The following is a 14,362-nucleotide window of genomic DNA, read 5'->3' on the forward strand; positions in this document are numbered from 1 at the left end:
ATAGAATTCTAGAGAAAAAGACCTGATTATGTGGCAGCTTCAACTAAGGGAAGGATAGAAATTCTGAATAAACCTAAAGGACAACAGCCCCCTAACAAAGCAGATGCCACTTCGTTCTCCTACTTCAGAGGGATGGCCACAGACCCCCCCCCCCCGCCCCTCAGAGGCAGCTTCCATTTGACTGTCAAGTAGCAAATAAATGTTTAAACACACATGGAAATTTCTCCGAGAACTTCCCTGTGAGTTATCTTTCACATGCAAATAGAAGTTGTGAATTTCTGAACAGGGATATTCTAAAGGAGGATGAGAAGCCCGGCTAGGGAGAGGACCCTTTAAGAAAAATCAAAGCCAAGTAGAAAGGGAGAGTCAAAGTAGACAAAAAAATTCAAGAGAAACCCTCAATCCAGATGGTCTACCGAAGCGGAGAATGCAGAAGGGGTGGAACCTAGCACAGTGCCTGGTACTTAGGAACATTCTATAAATATTTGTGGAAGAAAGACTGGGATTCCTAGTAAAAGCTTCCTAAATTGTTGAAAGGTGATTAAAAAGCTAGCCCTGTTACAACTAAAAGACAAATGGGACCAAACTGAGGATCCAAACAGAAAAGGATCTTTTATCAGAGATCAATGCAGAAACATGATTCAGGACAGGAAAGTAAAGCAGGCAGCTTAGGCCACTGGTAAATGATCCAGAGGAATGTAAGACAGACTAGAAGTGTGGTACAAAGATATGCCTGGCAGGAACTTCCCTGCTGAGAGCCCAGGAGAAAGAATGCCTTGAGGCTGTACTTGCATTTTATTTCTTCTGTTCATAGTCCTGCCACTCGCTTTTCCCTTTCTCAAACCCCTCTTTCTATGTAAAATTTAGTTCTGCTTCAGATTGATTTGTGTATGTTGAAATGCAGTGGTCAGGGTAGTAGAAAGGAAGTGAGTTAAAGAAGTAGGAAAAGGATGCTGGGCACGGTGGCTCACACCTGTAATCCCAGCACTTTGGGAGGCTGAGGCCGGCAAATCACAAGGTCAGGAGTTTGAGACCAGCCTGGCCAACATGGAGAAACCCCGTCTCTACTAAAAATACAAAAAATTACCGGGCGTAGTGGTGGGCGCCTGTAATCTCAGCTACTTGGGAGGCTGGGGCAGGAGAATAGCTTGAACCTGGGATGCGGAGGTTGCAGTGAGCCAAGATCACTCCAGTGCACTCCAGCCTGGGCAACAGAGCGAGACTCTGTCTAAAAGAAATAAAAATTAAAAAAAGACGTAGGAAAAGGCCAGGATACAAAGGCACAGTCTTTGATGGAGGCATTTTCTTTCTCTTTGACTCCTAAATGTTGGCTTAAGACAGACTCAAAATTTGTCATCAGATTTAGCTGGTGTAACATGCTCTAGTTTTTCATGGGTGCAGGGGCAGATCTTTCACTATATATATATTCAGGTAAACTTTATTGGTTAGTGATACAGTTTGGCTGTGTCACCAACCCAAATCTCATTTTGAATTGTAGTTCCCATAATCCCCATGTGTCATGGGAGAGACCCAGTGGGATGTAATTTAGTCATAGGAGTGGTTACCCTCATGCTGTTCTCATGACAGTGAGTGAGTTCTCACAAGATCTAATGGTTTTATAAGAGGCTTTTCCCACTTTTGCTTGGCACTTCTCCTTGCTGCTGCCATGTGAAGAAGGACATGTTTGCTTTCCCTTCCATCATGATTGTAAGTTTCAATCTGAGGCCTCACCAGTCATGCTGAACAGTGAGTCAATTAAATCTCTTTCCTTTATAAATTACCCAGTCTCAGGTATGTCTTTATTAGCAGTGTGAGAACAGACTAATACAATTAGTAAACCTTGAGCTCTGAACCTGGGAGGCAGATGTTGCAGTGAGCCAAGATTGCGCCACTGCACTGACCCAGTCTCAAAAAAAAGAAAAAAAAATCTAGTAAACCTTGAGTTCCAACAACAAGCATTTCCTGCCTCCCTTTATGTTAGACCACAGCATTAAGAGAAGCAGCCACACTATCCTTGCCCTTCTCTACCTTAATAGACACACAGGATTATTCAAGCTCAGACTTGATGAGTCAGTAAGATTTCACCAGTAGCAAAGAGAAAAGATAAGGGCTTTTTTGAGCAGAACGAATGGCATGTGCAAGAACAGTGACAGTTTCCAAATGACAATTTAGGAGGGCCTTAGAGGTAGCAATTTGACTCAGTGGTGGGCTAGAAGCTGTTTGTGCATAGCATTCTATATAAGATTCATAATATATCAATTTTGCATATCAAATAAAGGATGGACTTCATGCATATCATAAGGAATAAAGACACCCAAATCTCCCCTTGTGCTGCTACCATGCAGGGGCCATGATATAGTTCTGGCATATTTAAAGATCCAAAAGAAGGTAATTTTAGCTGGAGCATAGAATGTTAGTGGTAGACTGGCTGAAGATGTACCTAAAATTTAGGCAGAGCCAGAGAGGTATTGTAGGAATATTACAAATTTTTAATTTTATCCTAAATGTAATGGGAAGCCATTATGGGTTTTAAGCTGGAGAGTAGCATGATCCGATTTATGTGTAAGAAGATCACTATAGCTCCTGGATAGAAATGGATTGCAAGGGACAAGGAGCTAACATCTGTTGAGTTTCTGTGTGTGCCTATCCCTGAACAATATGCATGCATTACTTCATTTAATTCTCACAATAGTTGTGAGAAGTGTGAACCATTATCTTCACTTTATAAGTGAGGAAACGAAGACCTTTGAGGCTATATAAATTGTCCAGAGGAACATAAGGAGGAGCAAGAAAATGAGTACAATTCCTTCTATTAATGTGAAATTAATGCATGGGGCATACCATACACCCAGTAAAATCTCAGTGATGGTTTTGTTGTAAAATTCTGTAGGTAGATGATTGTCATATCCAGAATGCAGTGATCAGGGAAGGGTTAATACATGATTTTGCAACAAGGAAGTTCATGATCCTGGCTGCTCATCTGAGAGATACTGGATATAGCCATTTATGATTGAAGCTATTATGGGATTTCACTCTTAAAAATCCCTCTTATCATTGTTAAATGTGCAAAAGACCTCTTTTCACTGTTTTCATCTTTTTGTCAGGTTGTTTTCCAGGAAGTGGTTGCTAGGAGTGAAAGAGTTTTATTATTTAGAGATAAGTGGAGCCTAGATATTCCATCTACTTAAAAAGAACATAAAAAGAGAACCTTATAGTAATTGAGTTGAAAATTATGTTTGCGACACTGTTTGTACAGTCCACCTGCTTTCTGTTTACTTGTGGTTATCTCCTTTCTCTAATGACTCTGAAAGCACATACTCAGGTTTGCACCAAAACACTATCCTGGAGGCTGTTGGAGGAGTCTGACTGCCAGGGCTCTTCAGGGCCAACAGCTGACTCTAATGACAGTGAGCACGTGCACTCGCAGTGGCTGAAGAGTCTCTTGCCATAAGCATGAGTGCTAGCTGGCTGCACAGTGTATGAATTACTCTTGGATACAGTTGTCTTTATATTCTGATAATGCCTACCACTGAGGGAAAACCTACTGAGATTAAAGTTTTGCCAACCAGACTACAGAGACACTGTTCCACAACCTGGGACAAGTTCCTGCCCAGGACCTCAGGTTATCAAGATAGTGTTGGGCCCCTGGTCTGTGTATCCCCCTGCCCTTTCTCACATATCCCTTAACATTATCTATGATTATTAATCTAAAAATGTGTACTCTTTATTGCTCTTGCAAAACTGCCATGTGCTAAGCTGTTTATAGCTTTTGTCTAGTCACTGCATTTAAAACATTCTTTAACCTTGTTTGGTATTTCCAGTATTCCAAATTCACTTAGAATTCCCATGGTATCTGTTGGAAAAAAATAGACATGAGATTTCATCAGTAAGTGTTTAATAACCTCCAAATAAAAGCCACAACTGTAGCCAGTGCTTGGAATCACAGTTGAGACCCAGGAGGCACCTTTGAGGTCACTCAGGCCAAACTTCCACTTAAAAATGTGGAAAGGGAGACATTGACAAGTCAGGGGATTTGCCCACGTCAACCAGTTCTAGGTGATAGCCAGGCCAGAGCTAGAACTCCAGTCTCCTAACTCTCTATTCAGAAAAGTTTTAAAGAACTACATATAGTATTAAACTTTTAAATAAATAAACATAAGTTTACTCTTTTGAATTGGACTTAAAAGTTATGGCTGGGCGCGGTGGCTCACGCCTGTAATCCCAGCACTTTGGGAGGCTGAGGCGGGTGGATCATCTGAGGTTGGGAGTTTGAGACCAGCCTGAATTAGCTGGGCATGGTGGCACATGCCTGTAATCCCAGCTACTCGGGAGGCTGAGGCAGGAGGATTGCTTGAACCCAGGAGGTGGAGGTTGTGGTGAGCCGAGATCGCACCATTGTACTCCAGACTGGGCAACAAGACTGAAACTCCGTCTCAAAAAAAAAAAGATATGCATCCCAGTCTGTTCATGGGCCTTTGGCCTTACATGCTTATAATTTATTACTACCCTCATGTCTAGGCTTTCCCTGCCTCATTTCCTCCTCTGCCTACATGAACTTACCTATACTGTCTATACTATTCTCTTAGGTCCTTCTCTCAGGAGAATATTAACACAGCTCAGGTGCTAATCAACAAAAATGTCTCCTGTTTTTGCCTAGTACCAGATATCAACTCCTCCCTGTTTCAGTCACTTTCTGGGATTAAGACTTTTTATTCTTGAAAACCCTGTTAAAATGCAATCAGTATTACCTGTGAGGTAAAATTTAGGAAGGCACTACTGTCTGCTGCAATTCAAATCTAAATTTGCCTGACTCCGAATTGTATTCTCCTTTGTATCATGCCTCTTGCATGAGAAATGTCATAGTATCTGGTGCTCAATACTAAGTCTAGCCAATATCTACTGAGGCTGCAGATGCCTCTGGATACTTTTTTTCCCATCTGGAACACATGGGTCAGTGACTATGCCACCATCAGATTAAAGAAAGGATGGGTTGTGAAGATGTCTTCTTTTTCTTGACTCAAATTACATTTCTTAACTTTGGAGTTAGTTGTGGAAATAAAAACAGCTAGTCAGAAATGACATTCAATAGAAAAAGCATAGAATATGTTTACTTGAGTTCACTGATTGGGAAAGAGAAGGTACATCCAAATGAGAATGGTAAGTGGGTGATGGTAAAGGCATAAGCCAGAGTCAAGAAATATGTGATACTTTTAAGGCAAGTAACTGAAATATTGAGCAGATTAATGCTTCTGTCAATTTCCTCACCTAAAAATGAGATTGCACCTACCTGCCCATCTCAAGTGACTGTTATGAAGATGATATGAAATGGGAGAGCATCATGAAGACATAAGATAGAGATCTTAAATGATCTGTGGAATTTTGAAGGGTGGAGAAGAGGTTTAGGTCACACAAGTGATTAAAATGGCATAAGCAAAGAGGAAAGTTGGAAAGGAGGAATGTTGGTTAGGTAAAGGAAAATTGATCATTCTGGCAAAAATGAAGGAAAGCAAATTAAGGTTCAAACACTAATATATTAGGCACAAGCATAGAGGTCTGCTTTATAGCAGAAGGGCAAAGCTTGTTGTCTCAGGATGGATGGATCTGTCTATTATCTCTATCTATCTATCTATCTGTCTGTCTGTCTGTCTATATTTTGTGAGACAGGGTCTCACTCTGTTGCCCACACTGGAGTGCAATGATACAATCACAGATCACTGCAGTCTCAAACTCCTGAGCTCAAGCTATTCTCCTGCCTCACCCTCCTAAAGTTCTGGGATTAGAGGTGTGAGCCACTGTGCCAAACCAATATTTTTTGTTAGGAGAGAAAGGAAGCAATCTGGAGTTATAGAAATCATTCAGAGTCCAAACTGAAGGTTAGAGGTAAGCTTCTTTTTTTTTTTTTTTTTTTTTTTTTTTTTAGACGGAGTTTCACTCTGTCGCCCAGGCTGGAATGCAGTGGCACGATGTTGGCTCACTGCAACTCCACCCTCAGGATTCAGATGATTCTCCTTCCTCAGCCTCCTGAGTAGCTGGGACTACAGGTGCCTGCCACCGCGCCCAGCTAATTTTTTGTATTTTTAGTAGAGATGGGGTTTCACCATCTTGGCCAAGCTGGTCTTGAATTGCTGACCTCGTGATCCACCCGCCTCGGCCTCCCAAAGTGCTGGGATTACAGGAGTGAGCCACCGCACCCGGCCTAGAGGTAAGCTTCTTAGTGCTTACTATCTCCAACTCTAAGTCCAACTCCATCCTTTTATTTTTAAATGATGCAAAGCTATCATACACGGCCCTTCCAACAATTGGGAAGTCATATAATGTATAAATAGGTTAAAACATAGCTATCCAATTTAGTGATGTTAAAACAATGAGAGAAAAAGGATACAATAAATTGTACTTGGGGCAAATAAAAAGATACAGACACAGAAAGAAACTTCTATAGTGTGGCTTTGAATCAGTTAAGACGTCTTAATGGAAACAAGAACTTGAAATGATTTAAATGATAAAGAAATGTTTAATGTGTAACAAGGAGCACCAGAATAGAGCAGGCATCAGAACTGATTGAGTCAGTAGTTCAAGAATGTCATGGAGTTTCCAGGGTTTATTTTTTTCTCTCTCCACTCTGTTGGCCTTGGTGTGTTATGTTTGCCTTAAGGCTGGCTCCCCTCCTAGCAGCAAGAGGGTTGAAGCAGTTTCAAGGAGAATGAACTTTTCATGGCTGGCTAGGACTAGTTATCTGGAGTAGAATCAGCTCTGGGGAATAAATCTCAAATAACATTATATTACTTTCATCATCTGATCGTTTAGGGGAAAGTAGGAAATGTAATTGTTCTTGCAGATGCTTTGATTGGTATAGTATTTTTTAAAAATTGAATGAGATGCTTACATTGAAAGTTCATAAGATTTATTTTTAAAAATCATATTTCTGGGTCATCTTGAAGAATTCAAAGTCTAGCCAACTGCCTGCATTCTCACTTAGCTAAAATTGGCTGGAATGGATTAGTTACTGCCCCTTCAGATGGTGCATTCCAATTCCAATGTGCTGGAGTCTCATAATTCCCTAATGTATTACACCTGGTCTGTTTTACTCGGGTTACTTACCTAGTCCCACATTTGAGGAAATTACTCTAAAAGAATAATTTTTAAGAGCCTATGTTAGCAGTTTTCTGCTGCTATAACAGAATATTACAGACAGGTTAATTAATAAAGAAGAGATTTATTTGGCTCACGGTTCTGGAGGCTGGGAAGTCCAAGAGCATGGCACTGGCATCTGGTGGACGTCATCTCATGGTGGAAGGCATCACATGGAAAATGAGTGCAAGACAGAGTGAACAAATGGGGGCTGAACTTATCTTTATATCAGAAACCCACTCTTGTGATAACTAACCCATTCCTGTGATAATGGTATTAATCCATTTATGAAGGCAAAGCGCTCATGACCTAATCACCTCTTAAAGGCCCCACCTCTTAATACTGTTACAATGGCAATTAAATTTCAACATGAGTTTTGATGAGGGCGCTCAAACCATAACATTCTGCCCCTGGCCCCCTAAAACTCATATTCTTCTCACAAACAACATTCATTCATTCCATTTCAATAGCCCAAAAGTCTTAACTTGTTCCAGCATCAACTCAAAAGCCCAAAGTCCAGAGTTGCATCTGAATCAGATATGGGTGAGACTGAAGGCATGATTTATCCTGAGGCAAATTCCCTATAGCCATGAGACTGTAAAATCAAACAAGTTATCTACTTCCAAAATACAATGGCAGGGCTGGCATAGGATAGACATTCCCTTTCCAAAAAGGTAAAATAGGCAAGAAGAAAAGGGTAACTGGCCCCAAATAAGTAAAAAAAAATCCAACAGGCTAATCAACATTAAGTCTTAAAGCTGAAGAATAATCTCCTTTGACTCCATGTCCCCAATTTTGGGCACACTGGGGTGGAAGATGGGCTCCTAAAAACCCAGCAGCCCTTGCCCCATGGCTTTGCTGGAGTCAGTCCACCCAGAAGCTCTCACAAGTTAGGATCACATGCCTGTAGCTCTCCTAGGCTGAAATTGCATGCTGGTGGCCTTACAGTTCTTGGGTTTTGGGATTAGCCCCAATCTCATGGCTCTACTAGGCATTGCCCTAGTGGGGACTCTCTGTGGTAGTTTTGATCCCACATTTCTACTTGGCATTGCCCCAGTAGAGGTTCTCTGCAGTGGCTCCACCCCTGTGATTAAGTCTTTGCCTGGGTGCCCAGGCTGTCTGCGACATCCTTTGAAATCTAGGTGGAGGAAGCCACACCAACGCAGCTCTTTGCATTCTGCACACCTGCACAATTAGTGCCACATGGATGCTACCAAAGTTTATGGATTGAACCTTCCAGAATGGTAGGTTGAGCCACACCTGAGCCTGCTTGAGTCACGGCTAGGATAGCTGAGGAGCACTGGACCAGAATGCAGGGAATAGAGTCCCAAAGTGGCCCTGGGCTGTGAGCCTGTGGAGGGCACCCTGAGCCCATCCCCAGAAACCATTCTGTCCTCCTAGAGCTCTGAGCCTGCAATGGAAGGGGCAGCCTCAGAAGAGCTCTGAAATGACTTTTGAGTCTTTCATTGTCTTGATGAACAGCATCTGGCTCTCATCTATACTAATACCTTTAGCATGTGGCCACTTTGTTCTCCTAAATATGACTTTTCACTCTTCATATGGCCAGACTGCAAATTTTTCAAATCTTTCCATGTAGTCTTTCTTTTAATTTTAATGTTGACCAAAAAAAAAGGCCAAACTCTGTAAAATATTTGAAGAAGTTTATTTTCAGCCAAATATGAGGACCATCACCCATGATACAGCCTGAGAAGGTCCTGAGAACAAATGTTCAGGGTGGTTGGGTTACAGTTGATTTTATACATTTTTAGGGAGATAGAAGTTACAGGCAAAGACATAAATCAATACATGTAAGACGTACATTAGTTTGGACCAGAAAGGTGGGACATCTTGAAATGGGGGCTTCCAAGTCATAGTGGATGCAAAGATTTTCTTATTGGCAAGTGGTTAAAAGAGTTAAGCTTTGCCTAAAGCGTTGAAGTCAGCGGGAATAAATTAGCAGTTTCTTGGGTTTAAGATACGGTGTTTGTGGAAGCCAAGGTTCTTGTTATGTAGATGAAGCCCCCAGGTAGCAAGCTTCAGAGAGAATAGATGATAAATGTCTCTTATGAGACTTTAAGAGGTGTCAGACTCTTAGTTAAATTGCCCCTGAATCAGGAACGGGAAGGGGAATCTCTACAGAGTGTAAATTTTCCCTACAAGAGACACCTTTGTAGGATCATTCCAAAATATGTCAAAGAAATATATTTTGGGGTAAAATACTTTGATTTCCTTTAGGGCCCAATCTGTCATATGATGTTAACCAAAGTCAGTTTGGAGTTGGTATCTTAGTGCTACAAAAACTCTGTTTGGTCAGTCTTAGTATCTCTATTTTAATGTGTTTTTGTTTTGTTTTGATTTTTTGAGATGGAGTCTCACTCTATTGCCAGGCTGGAGTGCAGTGATGCAATCTCGGCTCACTGCAACCTCTGCTTCCCAGGTTCAAGTGATTCTCCTGCCTCAGCCTCCCGAGTAGCTGGGATTACAGGCACATGCCACTACGCCCAGCTAATTTTTCTATTTTTAGTAGAGACAGGGTTTCACCATGTTGGCCAGGATGGTCTCAATCTCTTGACCGCAGGTGATCCCCTCAGCCTCAGCTGCCCAAAGTGCTGGGATTACAGGCATAAGTTACTGCACCCAGCTGTATCTCTACTTTATTGTTAATGCTGATTAGTTGTATCTAAACTTAAAATGGAAGGGAGTATAATGAAGCATGGTCTGAACTAGTTTTTCAGGTTTCTTTGAAATCTCCTTGGTCAAGAAAGAGGTCTGTTCAGTCGGTTTGGGGCTAGAATTTTATTTTTGTTTTCCAATAAATTCTGTTTTTAAGTCATTTATTTCCTCTTGCATCTCACTGTATGCAGTTAAAGGTAGCTCCAGCAGCCTGGAAGTATTGCTGCTTAGATATTTTTTCCACCAGATATCCTAGTTCATTGCTCTTAAGTTCTGCATACCATAAAGCCTAGGGCATGGACACAATTCAACTAAGGTCTTTGCTACTTTATAACAAGGATGGTCTTTACTCCAGTTTCTAATACCTTCTTCATTTCCATCTGAGACCTCATTAGAATGGCCTTTACTGTTCATATTTCTACCAACATTGTGGCTGTGAGCACTTAAGTAATCTCTAAGAAGTGCCAGATTGTATTAATCTGTTCTTGCATTGCTATAAAGACCTACCTGAGACTGGGTACTTTATAAAGAAAAGAGGTTTAATTGACTCACAGTTCCCCAGGCTGTACAGGAAGCATGGATGGGAAGAATTCAGGAAACTTACAATCATGACGGAAAGCAAAGAGGAAGGACGCATGTCTTACATGGCCGGAGGAGGAGGAAGAGAGAGCAGGGGGAGGTGCTACACACTTTTAAACAATGAGATCTCATGAGAACTCACCATCACAAGAACAGCAAGGAGGTAGTCTGTCCCCATGATCCAATCCCCTCCACCAGGCTCCTCCTCCAATACTGGGGATTAAAATTCAGACATGAAATTTGGGCGGGGACACAAATCTAAACCGTATCACCTACTTTCCCTGCATTTCTTCTTTTCTGAACCCTCACCAGAATCACCCTTAATGCTCTGTTTAGGACAATCTAGGCCTTTGCTAGCTTGCTCCTCAAATTCTTCCAGCCTCTACCCATTACCCTGTTTCAAAGCCATATCCATATTTTCAGGTATTTGTTATAGCAACAGCTCCACTTCTCAATAACAATGTTCTCTCTCAGGCCATTTTCTGCTGCTGGGACAAAATACCACAGATTGGGTAATTTATGAAGAAAAGAGATTTATTTGGCTCATGGTCTGGAGGCCAAGATGTCCAAGAATATGGTGTCAGCAATTGATGAGAGTCATCTCATGGAGGAAGGCATCACATGGCAAATGAGTGTGAGTCAGAGAGAACAAATGGGAGTTGAACTTAATCTTTTATCAGGAGCCCACTCCTGCAATAACTAACCCATTTCTATGATAATGGCATTAATCCATTCATGAGGGCAGAGCCCTCATGACCTAATCGCCTCCTAAAGGCCCTACCTCTTAATATTGTTAAAATGGCAATTAATTTTTTTTTTTTTTTTTGAGACAGAGTCTTGCTCTGTCACCCAGGCTGGAGTGTAATGGTGCAATCTCAGCTCACTGCAACCTCCGCCTCCTGGGTTCAAGCCTCCTGGGTCTCAGGAGGCATGTGCCACCATACCTGGCATATACCACCATGCTACAGGCCACCATACCACATGCTACCGGCATGTGCCACCATACCACCATGCTACAGGCATGTGCCACCACACCACATGCCACAGGCATGTGCCACCATACCTGGCTAATTTTTTTTTTTTTAGTAGAGACTAGGTTTCACCATGTTGCCCAGGCTGGTCCAAACTCCTGACCTCAAATGATCTGCCTTCCTCAGTCTCCCAAAGTGCTGAGATTACAGGTGTGAGCCACCACGCCTGGCCAATTAAATTGCAATGTGAGTTTTGTCAAGGACATTCAAGCCACAGCAGAGTCTTTGGGTGGGCATTTCACTGATGGTTCAAAAGAAATGAGGATAAGTGCCAGATCTAGCTGAAGGGTATGTTTTCAGCAACTCTATTATTAATTAGCCATGTGACCTTATTAACTTATAATATCTCTAGCCATAACATTTAGCAATTGATACCTGTATTAGTCCATTTTCATGTTGCTGATAAAGACATACCTGAGACTGGGCAATTTACAAAAGAAAGAAGTTTAATGGACTTACAGTTCCACGCGGCTGGGGAGGCCCCACAATCATGGCGGAAGGTAAAAGGCACATCTCACATGGTAGCAGACAAGAGAAGAGAGCTTGTGTGGGGAAATTCCCCTTTTTAAAACCATCAGATCTCATGAGACGGATTCACTATCAGGAGAACAGCACAGGAAAAACCTGCCCCCATGATTCAATTACTTGCCACCAGGTCCCTCCCACAACACATGGGAATTCAAGATGAGATTTGAGTGGGGACACAGCCAAACCATATCAACACCTGTCTCCAACAGAAATGTTACAAACATAAATAGCCTCTTTAACATCAAAGGAAGGAAGAATATATTTCTTATTCATATGTTATTAGTAAAGTAATTGCTTTCATATTTATCTCTGAGATAGTAAAAAAATATAATTTTAATGTTTTTCTGTCAAATATGTCATTCTTATCTTTAATAAAACCTTTATTTCAGGGGTAGTAACTCTTGATTGTCCTTTTGAAAAATAATTTACAGGGTAGCTGTATTGCTTACTAGTTATATCAGTCAGCATTGGTTAGGCGAAATTAAGTTTAAAAGGAGCCATTAAAATGTATCATAGAATTTGTAATATTTTCTACACATATAATAATTGTTAGAGGGCTGTAATGGGTTTCAACATTGAAATAAAGCTTATTTTCTTTTTTTGAGACAGAGTCTCGCTCTGTTGCCCAGGCTGGAGTACAACGGCGCAATCTCGGCTCACTGCAACCTCCGCCTTCCGGATTCAAGCAATTCTCCTCCCTCAGCCTCCCAAGTACCTGGGACTACAGGCGCACACCACCACACCCAACTAATTTTTGTATTTTTAGTAGAGACGGGATTTCACCATGTTGGTCAGGCTGATCTCAAACTCCTGACCTCGTGATCTGCCCGCTTTGGCATCCTGAAGTGTTGGGATGACAGGCGTCAGCCACTGTGCCCGGCCAAGCTTATTTTCTTTTATCACAAAATATTTCAAATACACAGAAAAGGGAACATAACAAACCATATTTGCCTGTTTGCTTCAGATTTTTAAAATTATTAAGAAATTAATCATGCCGGGCGCAGTGGCTCATGCCTGTAATCCCAGCACTTTGGGAAGCTGAGGTGGGTGGATCACAAGGTCAGGAATTTGAGATCAGCCTGGCCAACATGGTGAAATCCCATCTCTACTAAAATACAAAAATTAGTGGGGCATGGTGGCATGCGCCTGTAATCCCAGCTGCTTGGGAGGCTGAGGCAGGAGAATCACTTGAACCCAGGAAGCGGAGGTTGTGGTGAGCCGAGATCATGCCATTGCACTCCAGCCTGGGCAACAACAGTGAAACTCTATCAAACAAAAAAACAAACAAAATGAAGTTAATCATTACAGATACAGTTTTCACTCTCTGTGTACAACTCTTCAATGCCATTCTCCATTACATATTTAGAAACAATAATCACTATACTGAATTTGATGTTTGCCATTCCTGTGCATGTTTTAAACATTTAAACAAAATCTGTATAAATCTATAAATAATATATTGTTTTGCATGTTTTAACATCATAGTATTATAAGGCCGGGCACAGTGGCTCATGCCTGTAATCTCAGCACTTTGGGAGGCCAAGGCAGGTGGATCACGAGGTCAAGAGATCGAGACCAGCCCGGCCAACATGGTGAAACACTGTCTCTACTAAAAATACAAAAATTAGCCAGGCATGGTGGCAGGCACCTGTAGTTCCAGCTACTTGGGAGACTGAGGCAGGAGAATTGCTTGAACTTGGGAGGCGGAGGTTGCAGTGAGCCGAGATTGCACCATTGCCCTCCAGACTGGGTGACAGAGCAAGACTCCGTCTCAAAAAAAAAAAAAAAAAAATCAAGGTAGTATAATATATATACACCCATATGTAACTTTTACCCCTTCGACATTGTTTTTGAGACTTATTCACTTAATATAGGAAACTAGGGATCATTAGTTTTAAATAATGTGCATTACATAATGTGTGCCATGTTATGTTAATCCATTCTTCTACTGATAAACATTTAGGTTGTTTCTACAGAGTTTTCAAAATACATTGTACTGGCTGGGCGCGGTGGCTCCTGCCTGTAATCCCAACACTTTGGGAGGCCAAGGTGGGCGGATCATGAGGTCAGGAGATCGAGACCATTCTGCCCAACATGGTGAAACCCTGTCTCTACCAAAAATACAAAAATTAGCTGGGTGTGGTGGCATGTGCCTGTAATCCCAACTACTTGGGAGGCTGAGGCACGAGAATCGCTTGAACCCAGCAGGCAGAGGTTGCAGTGAGCTGAGATCGCACCACTGCACTCCAGCCTGGCCACAGAGTGAGACTCTGTCTCAAAAAAAAAAAAAAAAAAAAAAAAAAATATATATATATATAGTACTGTTTGTACTGTTTGTTGTACTATCTAGGGTACATGTGAATAAAGCTCTGCCTCAGAACACACATTGGTGCTATCTCTATGAGAAGCAGCTCGGTCACAAA

At 41.7% G+C, this 14,362-nt stretch overlaps 2 annotated features.

The window, feature by feature from the left end:
- Positions 8,504 to 9,044: an enhancer, noted in NCBI's record as "OCT4-NANOG hESC enhancer chr2:191734008-191734548 (GRCh37/hg19 assembly coordinates)". NCBI's record gives its function as "activates a minimal SCP1, AML or CMV promoter by ChIP-STARR-seq in primed H9 embryonic stem cells {active_cell/tissue: H9 hESC(primed)}" and the evidence as "EXISTENCE:reporter gene assay evidence [ECO:0000049][PMID:30033119]".
- Positions 9,045 to 9,583: an enhancer, noted in NCBI's record as "OCT4-NANOG-H3K27ac hESC enhancer chr2:191734549-191735087 (GRCh37/hg19 assembly coordinates)". NCBI's record gives its function as "activates a minimal SCP1, AML or CMV promoter by ChIP-STARR-seq in naive H9 embryonic stem cells {active_cell/tissue: H9 hESC(naive)}" and the evidence as "EXISTENCE:reporter gene assay evidence [ECO:0000049][PMID:30033119]".

The sequence above is a fragment of the Homo sapiens genome, chromosome 2 (assembly GCF_000001405.40).
Source record: "Homo sapiens chromosome 2, GRCh38.p14 Primary Assembly".
In the NCBI taxonomy this organism is placed as follows: Eukaryota; Metazoa; Chordata; class Mammalia; order Primates; family Hominidae; genus Homo; species Homo sapiens.